The sequence below is a fragment of the Homo sapiens genome, chromosome 15 (assembly GCF_000001405.40).
Source record: "Homo sapiens chromosome 15, GRCh38.p14 Primary Assembly".
Taxonomy (NCBI): Eukaryota; Metazoa; Chordata; class Mammalia; order Primates; family Hominidae; genus Homo; species Homo sapiens.
Genome location: NC_000015.10, coordinates 68,338,765 through 68,355,998, shown reverse-complemented (window position 1 = coordinate 68,355,998; position 17,234 = coordinate 68,338,765). Strand labels below are relative to the sequence as shown.

Genomic DNA, 17,234 nt, shown 5'->3' with positions numbered 1-17,234 from the left:
AACATTGTGCTCACCCCCCACTGAAATTAGCCAGTTTTAAAGGCAATCCCCAGATCTCTTGAGCCGAGGCCTAAACTCATAAGATGACTGTGTCAAAGGCATTTAGATTTTAAATGTCTAAGTGTTACACCTATAAATATGAATTCTGCTGCATTTGTTGAGACCACAGACCTGGTACCTTATAATCCCACCTTAGGTAGGGTTAGTTGACGTGTTTTTTAAAAAAAAAATCCACAAAGTAAGAGCTATTTAGGCCAGGTGCGGTGGCTCAGACCTGTAATCCCAGCAGTTTGGGAGGCTGAGGTGGGAGGATTGCTTGAGCCCATAAGTTTGAGACCAGCCTGGGCAGAAGCATGAGACCTCATCTCTACAAAAAATACAAAAATTAGCCAGGCATGGTGGTACATGCTTGTAGTCCCAACTATTCAGGAGGATGAGGTGGGAGGATCACTTGAGCCCAGGAGGCAGAGGCTGCGGTGAGCCAAGATCACACCACTGCACTCCACCTAGGCAACAGAGCCAGACCCTGTCTCAAAAAAAAAAGAAAAAAAGAAAAAAAGAACTATTTAGTAGTATTGTGAATTCGTAGGCTCAAAAGATTAAGACTTTTCCAACCTCATAACTCTTTATAATTAAGTCATTGCTCAACTAGCGTGTTTCTGTTTGCTGATAAAACTTGCTCAAGCTTTTCCTAAATGAGCATTTCTCCATGTGAAGGTGGCTGTCTTACTCATCCTCATAAGGAATGGGCCATTTTTCTGTTTTTGTTTTGCCTTCTTCGGGGTGAGACCCGAGACTCCCAGCAGGCCCTTGTGAAATGGCTTGGGTAAGGGAGGCAGCCCATAACCACCAGCTCTCACTTTCTCAGTGTGAAGCTAACTGACTCATACAGGGATAAAGCCCACTGTTTGGACCTCACTTTACAACCCACCAACCCCTGCTCAGTTATCCGTGTGTGACTCACCAGGTAGTTTGAACCATCAGTGACTCATGAGCACCGCTGAGGTTGCAATCTTCACCTCAAATTCTGATCTTCCCAAACTTCCAAATTCAAGTCCCAAACTACAGCTGGTGCCTTTTAAGGTGAAAGGTTTTCTGTCCTCACTCAGTTTATTCTTAATGCATGTTTTTTCCTATGCACCTATGAAAGGGCAAAGATCCAGGCCATGAACATGAGGGCTTATAAAGATGTCGGTAATCTGTGGGTCCTGGCCACTGATGGGAGGGCTGTGACAAGTGTTCACCCTAACCCTAACTCGGTGAGGATGAGAGAGGGAGGGGCCCCCATGGAGTGGCCAAGGAGAACTGCCAGGAGGAGGCGGCACTGGACCTGTCCTGGGAAGACCCTGGGATTCCAACAAAAAGAGGTGAACAGAAGACGTGCCACACAAGACATTCCACCCTGAGAACAGCAGAGGAGAGGGAAAGTCAAGGAACATTTGCATTCAGAGATGTGCTCCTTTTGACCACAGCAAGGGGTTCATGTTGGTGGGAAGTGAGCCATGTAAAGATGGTGGGAGTGATGATGTTGTAGTTAAAACCAGCATGGGTGGCCACTGCAGATTCTTGAGTACAGGAGTGTAATCATCAGATATGCACGTTAAAAAAAATGAGCCTGGCAGCTATGTACAGCAGGGAAGTGGAGAGGGCCCCTGAACAATGTGGTGTGATTCTACCTTTGTCCACATAACACTTTATTGAGCCTCTACTATGTGCCTCACACTATTTTAGGCACCAAGGCTAGATCAGTGAACAAAATAGGTACAAATACCGTGCCATCGTGAGCTGACATTCTAGAGAGAGGGGCAGACAATAAATAAATAAATAAATAACAGCATACTAGAAAGAGATGAAAGCTATGGGGAGAATGGAGTGTGGTAGCGGGAGTGGAGCAGGTGCAGAGGGCAGGTACAGAATCAGCATGCACAGGGTGGTGGGGAAAGGCTTCCCTGACGGATGACCTTTGATTGGAGATTTGAAAGGAGGTGAGGGAGTTGTTGGCAAGCAGATGGCTGGGAGGGAACAGCTCAGAGAAAGGCTTGGTGTGCCTGAGGCCTTCCAGACCATTGAAGAGTCCAGTGTGGGTGGGGGTGAGTGAGCAGGACCAGAGGCTAAGAGAGGAAACGGGCCAGATTTCAGAGGGCCTAGTGAGCTGTTGTCAGAATCTGGGCTTTCCCTGAGAGAAATAGGAACCTGTGCAGGTTTTGAGCAGAAAGGAGCTGTGACGGGGCCTAAATCTCCATGGGCCACTCTGGTTTCTAGGCCCATGGAGCCTGTTATGAGTATAAAGCTCTTGCTGCTCTCAAGGAATGTATAATCTAATTTACAAAGGAACAAATCCAAGTCCCTTTACCCAGTGCAGAATCCGAATTTAAAATCTGATGATTCATGCTGATATTCGCACGATTACAGATTCATATGACATTCACACTATTCCACTCTATGGAAATATGATCCTGACATTTTTCTTGGGTCCATATATAATAAAACCTGTTTTGCTCCTGCCATGCTTTTTTGCAGGGTGTTTTATTCCTGGGCCTGGCCCTTCCATGCAGTCATGGAAGCATCTAGAATCCCCTTGGAAAGAATAGCAGAGTTCTCCTGCTACTGGGTTGCGCTTGAGCTCGAAACCTGCTCTCGTCATGTGGCACGTGCCTCTGCAGGTTTCAGTCCACAGCACATACTAAAATTAGTGGGTTTTTTAAGGCAACATATCCAGCATATCGGAGAATTGCTAAGAGAATGGTGGATGTTTTTTCTCTTTGCTGGTAGTTTGAAGATGTTCTAAACTAATGTATTCCAGCTTTTGTAAATTCCTCAACTCCTAAATTGTATGCATCAGTTCCTCAGCGTGCTGCGTAAGAAGAGATACCTCTGATACCAAAGCCGTGTGGCTCTTTAACCTGTCACTACAGAGCTTAAATCTGTGGCCTGTCCTGCCTTGCTGTGGGTCAGACCCATGAGGAATAACCTCAGAGTCTAAGACTAACATTTATTTTTAGATCCTTATTGGCAGACTATAACTTCTGGGCCAGACTCCTCGGTGAGACCATGTCTATACCCCTCAGAACCTCATGGTCTAAAGGAGGGCCGGCCACAGGGACACCAAAAGCCAGTGGTGATTTGGGAGCCAGTTTTTCATGCTTTGTAGCCCAATGGCCTGTTACAAGAGCCTCTCTGCCAATTGACGGTCGAGGTGCCAGCCCTGCTGTCTCCTGGGCTGGATTGCCTGATAGGTGGGCTGAGCTCATGCTCTGGGCACTGAAAACAAAATAAAAAGTGAGAAAGAGAAATATTTGTCATGGAATTTGATATTTAATGTTTCCCAAAATAGAATCAAAGTAGTCCTTGTGAGGAAGTCAGAGCTCTGTCAGGCCTCATCGCACGCATTTTATGGGTTAGTGTTGTCTGGATGCTGAGTCACCCTGGCACATCCTGTTTTCAGTACTAAAGAAAGTGAGTCTCAACTCTGGATGCTCACCAGAACCTTATAAAATACTGATGCCAGCCCGGCACGGTGGCTCACAGCTGTAATCCCAGCACTTTGGGAGGCAGAGGCGGGCAGATCACTTGAGGCCAGGAGTTCGAGACCAGACTGGCCAACATGGCAAAACCCCGTCTCTATTAAAAATACAAAAATTAACCAAGCGTGGTGGCAGAGCTCTCTAATCCCAGCTACTTAGGAGACTGAGGCACGAGAATCGCTTGAACCCGGGAGGAAGAGGTTGCAGTGAGCTGAGATTGTGCCACCGCACTCCAGCCTGGGCAACAGAGGGAGACTCTGTCTCAATTAAAAAAAAAAAAAAAACTAATATCCAGGCCACCACCCCAGAGATTCCAATTTCAGGGGTCTGGCTGAGGCCTGGACATCAATGGTGTTTGTTTGTTTGTTTGTTTGGTTGTTTGTTTGTTTGTTTTGAGACAGTCTCACTCTGTCGCCCAGGCTGGAGTGCAATGGTGCGATCTTGGCTCACTGCAACCTCCGCCTCCCGGGTTCAAGCAATTCTCCTGCCTCAGCCTCCCGAGTAGTTGGGATTACAGGCGCATGCCAACACACCCGGCTAATTTTTGTATTTTTAGTAGAGGCAGGGTTTCGACATGTTAGTCAGGCTAGTCTCGAACTCCCAACCTCAGTTGATCTGCCCGCCTTCGGCTCCCACAGTGCTAGGACTACAGGCGTGAGCCACCGTGCCAGGCCAACAGTTTTTAAAGCCTCCCTCCGAGAGATGTCAGTGAGCAGCTGGGGTTGTGAACCACTGACTTAATGCCTCTAAAGGTTGCCACTTGCCCCTGAACTCCCCTCCCAGGTCCACCTCATCCCTTTGGCCTGTCCAAAACAGCAAGGTCAGGACTCCAAAGGGGCTTTTCAACATTTCATTTAAAAACAACAGATCTAAGAACCCTCTGAGCAGCTGGTGAAAGAGTAGCTCTGGCCATCTCAATCCAGCTACTTCTTTGGTTTGAGGTCCTGGCACCTGTTGGGTTGCCCAAGGAGGACTTGGTCCTGGTTTCTGTGGCTGCCCCTCTGCAGGAGCGTCAGGGGCTGCCCCAATCCCACTTACCTTTCATGACCCTGCCCCTGTGCTTGGCTTCCAGCTCAGAGGCTTTCCAGAAGGGTGGAAGGAAAGGAGCCAAGAAGGTGATGATTGTCATCACAGATGGGGAGTCCCACGACAGCCCAGACCTGGAGAAGGTGATCCAGCAAAGCGAAAGAGACAACGTAACAAGATATGCGGTGGCCGTAAGTCCTGGCCCGCCCAAGGGCTGCTGATGGCCTCTGAGAGGCTTTACCATCAAATCCCTGGGGACTCCAAGGGACTAGTTCCAGGCAGTATCACAAGTGTCCAGGCCCTCAAAAAAGCCTCCCATTTCATCTTCTGAACAACAAGTTGAGGATCTTTCTGCACTGCTCTGGCCTATCCACAAAAGCTACGGGTTGTGTTTCCCCCCATCCATTGCCAGGGAGGGTCTGGAACCTCAGAAAACTAGAATACACCTCCAAACCTCCCAGCTCCCAGACCCTAACTTAGCACAAGGGCTTTATCTTGCCCCTAAAAGAGAGTCCATTCCAAATGCAAATGGCATTGCGAGGAACTCTCATGGCTACCGGCCCTGGCTCCAGCCCACCCTGGGGTCCCCAGGGTCTAGGCCGTGTGGTGTATGGGAAAGTCTGTGCTATGTTCTGGTTTGTGGTTCCTGCCCCTGTTCCCTGGCAGGTCCTGGGCTACTACAACCGCAGGGGGATCAATCCAGAAACTTTTCTAAATGAAATCAAATACATCGCCAGTGACCCTGATGACAAGCACTTCTTCAATGTCACTGATGAGGCTGCCTTGAAGGACATTGTCGATGCCCTGGGGGACAGAATCTTCAGCCTGGAAGGTAAGCAATGCATGCTAAGAGGGGATCCACTCTCTCCTGGGCTTATGTCAGGTAAACCCCGTAGAGCACAAACCAATCCCACAAAACGAAATGGCTTAACAAGAGTCTTCCGTAATAATAAATGCCAGGCCAGGCATGGTGACTCACGCCTGTAACCCCAGCACTTTGGGAGGCCAAGGTGAGCGAATTGCTTCAGTTCAGGAGTTCAAGACCAGTTTGGTCAGCAAGGCAAAACCTCGTCTCTTTAAAAAAAAAATTACAAAAATTAGCTAGGTGTGGTGGTACATGCCTGTAGTCCTAGCTACTTAGGAAGCTGAGGTGGGAGGATCGCTTGAGCCTGGGAGGTTGAGGTTGCAGTGAGCTGATATCATGCCACTGCACTCCAGCCGGGGCAACAGAGCCAGACCCTGTCCCCAAAAATAAATAAATCATAAATGCCAACAATTGAGTATTACTCCGTGCCGGACGTGAGGCTGTGCGTTTTATGAACAATGCTGAAAGGTTGCTTTGCTAATGTTCTCATTTTTATCGCTGGGAAAACTGAAACTCAACGGAGTTGAGTGACCTGCCAAAGTTCTCACAGCTTGGGAGCATGGTGGGCTTTGAACTAGGGTTGCCAAATTTCGCAAAAATAAGATACAGTGGGTGTGGCAGGCTTAGGTTAAAACTTATTTGTTCTCTGAAATTCAGTTTTAATTGGGCATCCTATATTGCATCAGGCAACCCTAGCTTGTGCCTAGCAGAGTCTGACTCCGTATTCTGAAACCCTTAATCCCTATATGCCAACTGCTTCCACTCCACCAAAAGCATTTTTTATTTTGGGCAGAGTCCTTCAGATTGCCTCTCTCCTTGTGATTTAAGCTCCATTTCTGATTTGCATAAATTTCATTTCCACCATAAATTGCTACAGTGGGCCCTTCCAATATCGGGCTTTGGGCATATGGGAGGATTATAAAAGGAAATAGAAGGCAGTATAAAGCCTGAGAAGTCTGCAGTGCATTGGAAATGACAAGCCACAGACACACGAAGAGACTAAAATGGCCCTCGTAAACAAGGGCAGATGAATATAAAGTCTGAACGTGAGCTTTGACACCCACTCCAGAACTCAAATATCCAAATCTGTATTTCTCCTCAAAATGGTCGCCTTGAGTGATGAGAACATTCGATCCAATGATGTGTTCAGGGAGTCCCTCTGTGGGGAGAGGCTTTCAGCACTCATGGGATTTCTTACGCAAATCTGCAGTGGTGACAGACCTCCCTCTGAGGGTGGATTTGATGTTTGAGTTCCATCCAAAGACATCTGGAACCAAAGCTAGTGAATAAAAGGAATGAACAAAGTGGGAAATTCCATTTCTGGCCAAAAACGTACACTATTTCTGTGCACTTTTGCTTACTTTCCCTCCAGTTTTAGCAGTCTCATAGTATACATGCCCTGTAATATAAGTTGTCCCGAGCCCTTTTCAGAAGTAAGTGGGCTACCAGTAACAACCCACATGGGCACCTGGAAGGTGTGTGGTGCCCCCCACTGCACAGGGTGCTGGGGAGGGCTGAGGAGGCTGGCACACTACTGGCCTCAGCTTCAGAGCCCCCCCTCGAAAGAGAGCCCCACCTCCTGACGATGCCCCCAGGAAGCAGGAGCTGTGGGTTGGGCAGCAGATCTGTCTGGCGCTAAGGGATTGGGCATGGAGCTGACATCTCTCTGTCACTCTGTTGCAGGCACCAACAAGAACGAGACCTCCTTTGGGCTGGAGATGTCACAGACGGGCTTTTCCTCGCACGTGGTGGAGGTATGTGGTGGAGGTACGGGCACAGAGCCCAGCCTCTGTCTCTCGAGGGCATGCTCTTCCCCTTTCTAGCTCTCTGGATCTGTCATCCACCTTCACAGATGGGTTGGCTCTTCTCCTCACTTTCTCTCTTTCTTGGGGTCTCTCTGCCTCCCATCTTCTGTGGGCTGGAAGAGGGGAGTCGAGGTCTTCCACCTATTTATGTTGTCTTAAGCCACCAGACAATGAGTAAACACCCAGGTGATCCTTCCCACAAATAACGTACAATCTGTAGGACAGCAGAGAAATAGCCACAGTTCATTTGCTCTTTAGAAGCGAATGGACTACAGACAATAATCCCATAATTTCACCTGTGAGGCGCGGGGTGTGCCTTCCCATTCAGTCCACAGAGCCTTGTGCAAAATCTAGGGCAGGTGGCAAAGCCAATGGCACGTGCTTTGGATAGCTCCAGTGCCCAAGGCGGCCTGCACATGCCAGGCCCCATGTCAATGTTGGGAGGGTATCCAGATGTTCCAGCTGTGCTCTGGCAGGTGACTCATAGGCCCCCCCCACTGTGTGGGTGCTGCATCAGATTGCAGAGGTCCTGGGGTGGGGCTGGCCCACAGAGGGAGGGGTGTGGTGTCACAAGCAACATGTGACATCTGGGGCTCTGCATCACTCCCCCGCTGTGTGCTTCACCTGGTGCTGGTTCATAAGGAGGGGCTGGAGCCTCCCAGGACTGCAAGGGGGACAGAAGAGTCGATGTCTGTGAATATGCTTAATGTACTGTAAAGTCCTGCCCAGGATTGTCATGTGGGAAAACGTACCGACTGCATCTGTCAGTATCGATACGTGCTCCTGTGGGTGTGCTTTGCACAGACAGGTGTCCCAGGTGCATGTGTGTGCAAGTGTGTGTGTGTGTGTGTGTGTGTATGTGTGTTCTGCCTGGGCTGGCACCATGAGAGTGTACTTATTCCTCCTAATTTACCAGAGAAGGCCCATTAGTGCATCCTAGTTATATGTCACTGTCATCCTGTTGCCCTCTCCTAACTCCTCTGTGAGGTGGATAGGGCAGGACTCCTTGTTCCTAGTTTACACATAAAGAATTCAAGGCATGAGAAGGTTAAGTGACCTGCTGGAGTAAAATTCTTCAGAAAAAATATTAGTCTCGTGCTCTTTCCTCTACACCAAGCAGCTGCTCCGTGAGAGGGAATCTCCGGGGGTCTGAGTCAGAACTTCCAAACTGGAGGGGAGGGGGACATGTGCGTGACATGCAGCCGGCAGATGGACGGAAATGCCACTCACACTCAGACTTTTCTGAGCTGCATCTGGACAGTTTCATGCCCACTGTCTTGAATAACAGCAAGATGTAAATATAGCTGCCCTATCCTAATAACAGCCCTGTTACATGTGCACAGCGGTTTAAACTTCTCCAGGAAATTCCTGCACCTCATTTCACACCAGAACAGCCCTACAAGGTTGGCAGGTGATGATAGTTATCCCATTTTAGGTGGTTGGATCAGCCACTCTTTTCAGTGCCTTCTCTGTGCTGGGTCCTGAGCCTGATGCCAGGAGAATCAGAGGCGGGAGCCCTGCCCTCAAGGAGCTCAGAGTCTGAGGGTAAAGAGCCCAGCACAGCGAGGTGAGAGCATCCATTCATGTGGGGGCCAGCAGAGTCATGTGCTCTGGCAGGACCAGCCCTGGTCTCCAGACTCTGACGTCAGAGCTGATTAGAAAACGCAACAAGGAAATGCAATTTAATTAAATCTACATGCATTTGTCAAGTGCCACTAAAGTGCTGAAAGGACCCGGAAATGATTCTTGCCACCAGGAGTCAACTTGTAAACAATCCTGAACGGCAGTTCTTAGCTTTGAGAGTAGGATGAAAGAAACTATAGATGCCTTCTAGGTAAAAGTGTACAATACCTGGAGGCCCCCCTCATCCGAAGATCCCCTGTGAAGACCCCCTGCTCAATGCAGGGGATAGGGGGAGACATGCACATGTCTAATGTTAACCAAAGCAACGTGATCAAGGTAGTATAGAAGGAAGGGCCTCCACTAAAAGAAGGGGTGGTCAGGGAAAGATCCGGAGAGGGCTTGGCACTCGAGCTGCCCCTAAAGGACACGGATTTCAGCAGTCCTGGGTGGCAGTAAGCAGGAGAACAGAGAGCATTATGGACACACACTGGGTGACATCCTGGCACAGCTCAGAGGTCAGCCCTGGTGTTGGGGACAGAAGAGAAAATGAATGTCCCAATGTTTCCTTTGTCCATTCACAGCCATTTTTTGAGTATCTTCATGTGTGTCAGACTCTGTACCAGGTACATTAAAGAAACATTTCAGCTGACAGCCATTCATAGCCTAGCTGGGGAGAAAGACTCTTAAATAATCAGCTCACTGTCCTGCTTCTAAAATCATGATCTGTGTCTGCCTAGGAATCGGGGAATCTAAAAAGAGGAGGACATTAAAATGGGCTTCAGGGACTCAGGGAAGCTTGAGCTGAGCCTTGAAAATGGCTCCAGCAGTTCAGTGTTGAGCAAGGTGAGTCCTTGCAGGATCAACAGGTTCCCCAGCTTCCAGAGTGAGGAGACCCAGGAGCTCACAGCCTCAGCACAAGACTTCGGTCACGTCAAGGTCATGACTGCCATGTGCAGCCCCTTCCACATATGCTCAACTTCTCTGTTCCCCAGGCAGAGGGATGCAGCTTGCCTCTCCCATATACCCTAGTTCTTCCATCACCCCGACACAGGGACCTAGCTTGACTCTTCCTCATACCCTAGTTCTTCCATCACCCCTGATATTTTCATCTAATTTGACTTTAAGAGAGACAACGATCGCATTTGAATCTGAGACTCTTTAGTATTAAAAACAAAAACAAAAACAAAAACCTTTCAAATGCACAGGAATGGTGCAAGCATGATGGGCTGGCTGGCTCTGTGACCGGGCACTGGGGGCTATTTTAGAGCACAGACGTCTTTCAGTGCCAGGCCGCTGATGCCATCATGAATGGCCACAGCCATCCTGTCCCCAGGAGTCCAACTCCTCAGCTCTCAGGGTCAGTTAGGCCTCTCTGGGGATCAGGGCTATTGGGTCCAGCCTTTCCACTTTGCCCTGAGCATGTCTGTCTCCCAGGCAAGCCCCCAGGCTTCCTCCCTGCCAGAAGCGCCACAGATGGTCTCAAACAGCTGCTGCCTGAAGAGATACTGAAGGAGCCTGAGGGGCTTCCCCGGGCCTGTTTAGTTCTGGTAGAAGGAGAGATCCCTAGTAGAATGTTCTCAGATGGCAGAAGAAAGGCCCGGCTCCTCCTTGCTTGGTTTGCTGCCGTCTTAATGAGCAAGGAAATCAGTCTTTGAATTAGCAAGGGTAAAAACAACAGGAGAGAGAAGGGACCAGAGCCCAGGGTACAGGGGAGACCCCAAGACATCACCTGGACACCCACAGAGTCCAGGGCCCCAAAACATTACATTCCAGGCTGAAGGCAAAACGTCTGAGCCATTGGGAAAACCCGGGTAGCTGGAAACCCTAGTCTTGATTTGCAGAAAGGGGAAAGAAAATATTCCAAAAATTATCATCAGGAAGGCTAGCTGTGGATCCCTGGTCAGACTTTAGAATACATTTTTAAGCTAATGCTTCCATTAGCATTTGGAAATGAACGCAAAGGTCACTAAGAGCCAGAGTGGCTTCCATTAGTGCTGGCTGTCTGCTGAGGTAGTGAACTACCTGTCAAGCTGGGTAATCAAGCAGGAGCTGCAACAATCTGCCAGAAAGTTGGGAGAAGGGATTCACACCTCCAGAGGGGGACTAGACTCTAAGACTCTGTAATCCCATGGGCCTTGAGGGGAAGATGCAGAGGGAGAAAGAGGACTACAAAGAATTGATGGGCATGGGTGACGGTGTGCAGAGGGCTCAGCTGGAGGGATTTCGCATCCGCCTTCCTACACTGGAATCCTAAATCTGCCCTAACTCCAAAAGTTTACAGAAGGAAGCAGTTTTATCAGGGTAGATCTTGTCTACGCAGAAACCTTGGTGACTCACCCAAGGTGGGAAGAGATCCTTTTTCTCTTGTACCTAAAGGTGAGGTCACTTACCCTGCACGTGATGACCTAACAGGACCAGTGCTCAGTTCTGTTATGAAGCAGGTCAAGTTCAGCTGAGCCCTGTGTGGGAGGGTCCTCTGCAGCACCATCACCCATGCGCATCAATTATTTGTAGTCCTCTTTCTCCCTCCGCTTCTTCCCCTCAAGGCCCATGGGATTACCGAGTCTTCGAGTCTAGTCCCCCTCTGGAGGTATAAACATCCCAGATGAGCTACCCCAGCCACCCTCCTGCCTCTTCAGCCTGTGCCCATCCCACAGGCCCTCCTGGGATTGAGGTCTAGACAATGAAGGGTATTGGCTATTCGCTAAGGTTCTTAGTGGCTGAAGCTTTAGAGGTGTAATCTTCCCTAAGGGTTTCGCATTTGAACTGGTTTTGCGTATCTGATTCAACAAAAAATGAGAGAAGCTGATGGATAATGGTGAATTGAGGAGTTGACCTGTGGAAGCTGTAAACCCCTCCTGTGCCCCCCTAGACCTAAACAATAGACTCCTTCACCTGCCAGGCTGGGCGGGCAGTCAAGATGGTCTCCTGGCCCTCTCCCCAGGGGTCCAGGACACAGCAGCTGAGGTCCTCTGCCACGCTGGTCCCAAGGGTTTGCGAGTTGTCTCCTGGTGGCAGGAATCATTTCTGGTTCATTCGGGTCCTCCTAAGCCTGGCCCCATATCCTCAGGCTGTGCCCTAGTGCCCACTCCTGGGTCTCTTTCCCAGGGCCTCTGACAGGAGGCAACCAACTCTGATGGGGAATGAGCAGTCAGTGTAGCACGCCCAGGTCCCCGCGGCCCCTTCTGCTCACCCCAGCTGCCGGATTCCAGCACCGCACATGGTGAGGGCCCCTCCTCCACAGAAAGGCAGAGGGGCTGTTTCTGGGCCTTTCCTGCCCACACCCCATTTAAGCCTCCTGGCCATTCATCCCTTCCTCAGGTCCACTTCAAGCTTGTTGAAACAAGCCTTCTAAGACTCCAAGCCATTAGTGAAAAAGCATAATCCACCCTCTAAATGGTGTATGTGCCTTAGAAGGGGCTCCTGGGAACAGAGCCTCACCCCTCTACAGCCACTCTGACGTGGACTCTCGGGAGTTTGGCGGGGGAGGACAGCCTCGGTGTCCTCTAGGGGTCTCCCATCACACCAGCCCACAGCACCACCAGCGACTACCTCCACCTGGCTCCATCGTCTTGCCTCACAAAAGCCAAAAAGAGCTAGAAGGAAGAATTACTGGCACCTGGTATCCTAATTCCGTGACTACTGGGCAAGAGGGAAGCACTGTCTGGCATGTGGGCTCAGAAAAATCATTTGACCTGTCTGAGCTTGTCTTAGTAGATGTCTGAAGAATATTTGTGAAATCGAATCAAGGCTTGGAACTGGAAGTGTTCGTTTTGAGACTTACTAATAAATCAAGTAAGATTTTCTTAAAAGCCTTTCCTAACCCTACTATGTACTCACCCCCTCTTCTCAGTTGTTCACCTGCTCCTGGGACTGCCAAAATAACCGGTCCCTGACTCCATCAGAGCACTTCTCACATGCTACCGCAATGACGAACGTGACTGTGACACCTGATTCTTCGACTCCCGACCACTGGGGAGATGCTTACAGATGGATTCATGAACGAGAAGAGCTACCATGTACCAAGTACTCACTGGCTGCCAAGTGCCCTGCTAAGAATTAAAAATGCTGATTTTCACAACAGAACTATTTTACAGCTGAGGAACTCAAGGTTCAGAGAGAGAGAGAGAGAGAGAGAGAGAGAGAGAGAGAGAGAGAAGAACTTGCCCAGGGTCACACAGCTAGAAGCTCTGAGCTGGAAGTGGAACTCAGAAGCCTCTGACTCCAGAACTCCTTCCTGCTCTCACCACCACGCCAGGGATCCTCCACCTCTGTCCTAGTGACATCTTGGGCTGGATAACTCTGCCGTAAGGGACCATCTGGTGCATTGTAGGATGGTTAGCAGCATCTCTGGCCTCGACTCACTAGACACCAGTAGCACCCCCACCACTACCCCCAGCTGTAACAAGCAAATATCACCTAGGGCACAAACCTGCCCCGGCTGAGCAGCACTGCCCTAGACCATGCTGCCTTCACTGCCGGGGCTGTGGTCCAACCCTGGCTTGGGACATGGACTGGCCGGAACACAGGGCTTTGAGAGATATGGTCACACACCCTGGGAGCACGCAGCTCAGCTGGGAAGGCAAGACTGCCTCAGAGGCCAGGTCAGAGGGCAGCTGAGAGCTGAGTTGGCAGGGTCTGGTGGAGGGAGCTACACACACTGCAGGTGCTAGGGCTACAACGTCCTTTGGGAAGGCACAGCGTGGCCTCAGACCTTCTGACAGCTGCCAAGCCTGAGACCTCATGTCTACACAGAACGCCAGGAAAATCAGCTTGTGGGGAAGGTCCCCTCGTGCAAGGCCACCCAGGCACACCCTGGTAATATCTGGTGGGAGCCCAGGTGGCCCCACATAGGAAAGGAGGCTATAAAACAGGAAGCCAGTGCGAGGCCTGCAGAGCGGGGGACACAGCTCTTCCCGGGAATGCCCACTGTTTGTTTGCCAGCTGGGCCCACGTGCCTGACTTCCCCTATTAAGGATTTGGTCCCTTCTCTTTTTTTGCCCCACCCTTCTAGATTTTTCTAAACTCAAAATGTCTGGGCTTCCCCAGCTGGGAAGAGATTGTGACATACTAAGGCTTGCTTCAGTGGCCTTAACCTGTCTACTCCTCACAGTGTCCCCATCCTCAGAAGACTCTCCCTGGCCACAACAAATTCACTCTCAGGAAAGGGCCTCCCACTGCAGGCCCAAGACTGCAGCTGCTGTCAGGGTTAAAATGGGATGAGGTGGGAGACTGTAAGCGATCGCCTGGCCAAGTGTTGCCAAATCCAGAAGTCATGACGGAATTCCCCAAGCTCCCATAGGGAGAATCAGTGTGAGGGGTCTCCCCGGCTGAATCCCACGCCCCTGGGCCAAGCCAGCCCTTCTCAGTACATCACAGGGGCTCCCTGTCATCTGCAGAGCCAGAAATTCATCTTCAAAGGCCTGTCCATGAAGCACAGAAGCCAGGTCTGCAGTTACAAACTTGGACTCAACAGGCAGAGAGAGGGAGGAAAGCAAGGAAGAAAGTCAGACCCCAAATACTGCGCCCCTCCCTCAGGAGGGTTCAGGTGGAAAATGGAAAGCTGGACCCACAGCAGGCTTTGGGGAAACAGATAGATGTTTTCTTCTCTGCCCTACTTACCTCTCTGGTCAAAGCCCCAGCCCTGCCTCTGACTTGCTGTGTGACCTTGGGCAAGTCCCTTCCCCCTCTGAACCTCAACGGCTCATTTGTCAAGTGCAAATAATGAACATCTGTCCTTCTGATTTCACAGGGCCTCTGGGCCCAAATGGGCAGCCAGATGAGAAAGTACTCCACAAAGAATAGAGCACACCCCACGTGCAGGAATGTTGGTGGTGACTTTGTGGACAGCGAATATATGAGTTCCTGGCTCCTGTCGTGGCCCGAACAAACTGTCAGAGCCTCCTAGGCTGAGGCTCGAGCACAGAGTAGCAGGAAGAAGGCTAATTAGAAAGTACAACGTGAAACATAACCAAGCACATTGACTCTCCCAAGACCAGCTTATTTATAGCTGTAAAAACATTCTGTCTGAACAGTCAGTTCTACCTCTGGAGGGTTAGGATTTGTTAACCCTTTGATAAGATCAGCTTGACTCTGTAAAGCGGTGGGAATCTCAAGCTCACCCAGGCAGCCAGGCAGCCGGGCTCAGGGAAGGCTCCGTGGGAGAGAGTGGTGATTTACCAGCCTGTGTTTTGAAAGCCCAAAGCTGGGATCCAGACAGTCTGCCCCCACCCCTGTAATCACCAAGGTAACCCAGAAGGCAGCCCTTCCCTGTTTCCACCACCTTCCTTGGGCCCGTCATCGTCCCTGGTCATTTTCCTTCCTCTTCCAAGTGCTGGCTGTTTGTCTGCCTGTACCCAGTAGGTATGTCGATTGCTGAAGCAGGGGATCGGGGATACAGGAGAGAGAGGGTGAGTGGACCCAGTCTTCAAGAAAGGGCCATGGGGTCAGTAACCTGGAAACTTTCCCTCAAGGAGCCAGAGTTTCCTGTCTTCCTGCCCAAGCATTGCAGCTTCCCCTTGTCCTGCAACTGGTGGGTAGAACAAGACCTTCCAAGCCCTGAGAAACAAGCAGAAGCACCAGTGCCTTGGGTGCTGGCTGTCATGGAGGTGGCCCTGGCTTATCTGTCCAGCCTCATGTCAAGGCTCTCTGCCCCTCTTGCTTGGTGCTCCAGCCCCATCAAACAGCGTTCAGTTCCTTATGAACAAAGGTTCCGTGCTCTCTCCAGCCTCAGAGCCTTTGCACAAACTGTTCCTGGCCCTTTTCTCCAGCTCTTCTTTCTCTCTGGCTCTACCCATCTTTCAGGTACACGGGTAAACATGACATCCTCGAAGACTTTTCCTGACCCCCATCTCAATCTAGATTCAGCCTCACTGTGGTTTTCCCTGATTGCGTTGATCACAGTTTGCAACTGCATGTTTGTTGAGTATTTTTTTTTTTTTTGTATCTTCAAGCTCTGTTGCTGGTGGTTGGGGGCGGGGATACGGGGGACAATATCCCTGGCACCAAACAAATGCCTGGCACAAAGGAGACCTCAGTGAATGTTTGCTGAAGAAACCAAGGAGTAGGATTTACGTGCAGGGAAGCAACTCAGACACTGCAAAGAAATATTAAAGAAGGGCAAGTGCAAGGGGCCCTTTCCCTCCTTCAATACATGTCAGAAGGAGTGGACAGTGGCGAGACGGTCCCTAAAGGGTTTTGAAGCCCAAGGAGGGATGGAGGTTTGGCCCTGGATTTAGAGTTTGTTTCTAGAACATTCCTTTTTCCCTAAATTCCTGTCCTTGGGATCAATTTGACCCATTTTGTGCCAAGGATGGAATGGGGCAAGAAAGTCTCCTTGGCTTATTCAAAAGCCAAGAGCCCCAGCCAGAAGTTAGGTTGCTAAATAATGCACCCAGGAGAAGGTGCCCGAGGTGGCTGGTGGAGGCGTCACTGGTCATAGGACCTGATGTGGCTCCTGGCAACTGGCCCATGAGGACAGGTGCTGATGTGTGTCCCCTCCCCAATGCCAGGATGGGGTTCTGCTGGGAGCCGTCGGTGCCTATGACTGGAATGGAGCTGTGCTAAAGGAGACGAGTGCCGGGAAGGTCATTCCTCTCCGCGAGTCCTACCTGAAAGAGTTCCCCGAGGAGCTCAAGAACCATGGTGCATACCTGGGTAAGAGCGCAGAGTGAGGGGAGGCTGGCGGGTCGTGGGCCGGGAGGGCACCCAGGGGCTGCACAACCCCCAGCCCACACACGAGTGAGGGGCCTGCTGTGTATATTCTGGGCTGATTCAAGCACCCAACTCTGAAGAGCATCCCCGGGGGCATTTCCTCTCCACCCTGGTATCCACCGCGCCCAGCACCATGCCCAGCGTATAACAGGCTCTCCATAAATAGGTAGAATAAAGGACAAGCAGTTCCCCACTCCCTTCAATGTGTTTCATTTGGTGCTTCTAGACTCTGGGTCAGCTGTTGTTGTGCCTTAAAGCTTTTGGGGCTGCCTAGGGCTCCAGTACACTGAGCCTGCCTCCCAAAGGCAAAACGCAAGTCGAGTGGAACCTGCATTCATTTTTATTTCTTAATGTTCATAATCAAGGCAGAAGTCGCTGCCCATGAAGCACTTTGGAAGTGGATATCTAGATAGAAGCACAAATCATTGATGGTGAAGGTCCCAGCAGCGAGGCCTTAGCCTGCTGGCCAAAGTCACCTTCCAGCTCTGCAGGAGCAGTCACCTGGCCATCCCCAGGCATGTCCCATTCGCCATGGCTTGTTCCTTTCTAAAGGAAGGGCCAGAGGGGAGGGCGGCAAGGGGGGTGATGTTCAGGGTCCCCACTGTCTCTGGGTCTTTCAGAATTTCTGAACCAAATCCACTGTCTGTGAAGTTACTCCTCATTGAGGCCTCCTCGGAC

The 17,234-nt window shown here is 50.5% G+C and overlaps 1 protein-coding gene across 3 annotated transcripts in view, besides 1 other annotated feature; it reads left to right on the top strand.

The window, feature by feature from the left end:
* The window catches only part of ITGA11 (integrin subunit alpha 11), a 135,632-nt gene that overhangs the window by 76,165 nt on the left and 42,233 nt on the right, over positions 1-17,234 (top strand). For all 3 annotated transcript variants that reach the window (XM_011521363.3, NM_001004439.2, XM_005254228.4), the window contains 4 exons: positions 4,597-4,741; positions 5,217-5,382; positions 7,099-7,169; positions 16,355-16,499. In XM_011521363.3, coding sequence (XP_011519665.1) covers positions 4,597-4,741; positions 5,217-5,382; positions 7,099-7,169; positions 16,355-16,499 — 527 coding nt within the window. The remainder of the gene's footprint in view (positions 1-4,596; positions 4,742-5,216; positions 5,383-7,098; positions 7,170-16,354; positions 16,500-17,234) is intronic.
* Positions 13,545-14,140: an enhancer, noted in NCBI's record as "H3K4me1 hESC enhancer chr15:68634197-68634792 (GRCh37/hg19 assembly coordinates)". NCBI's record gives its function as "activates a minimal SCP1, AML or CMV promoter by ChIP-STARR-seq in naive H9 embryonic stem cells {active_cell/tissue: H9 hESC(naive)}" and the evidence as "EXISTENCE:reporter gene assay evidence [ECO:0000049][PMID:30033119]".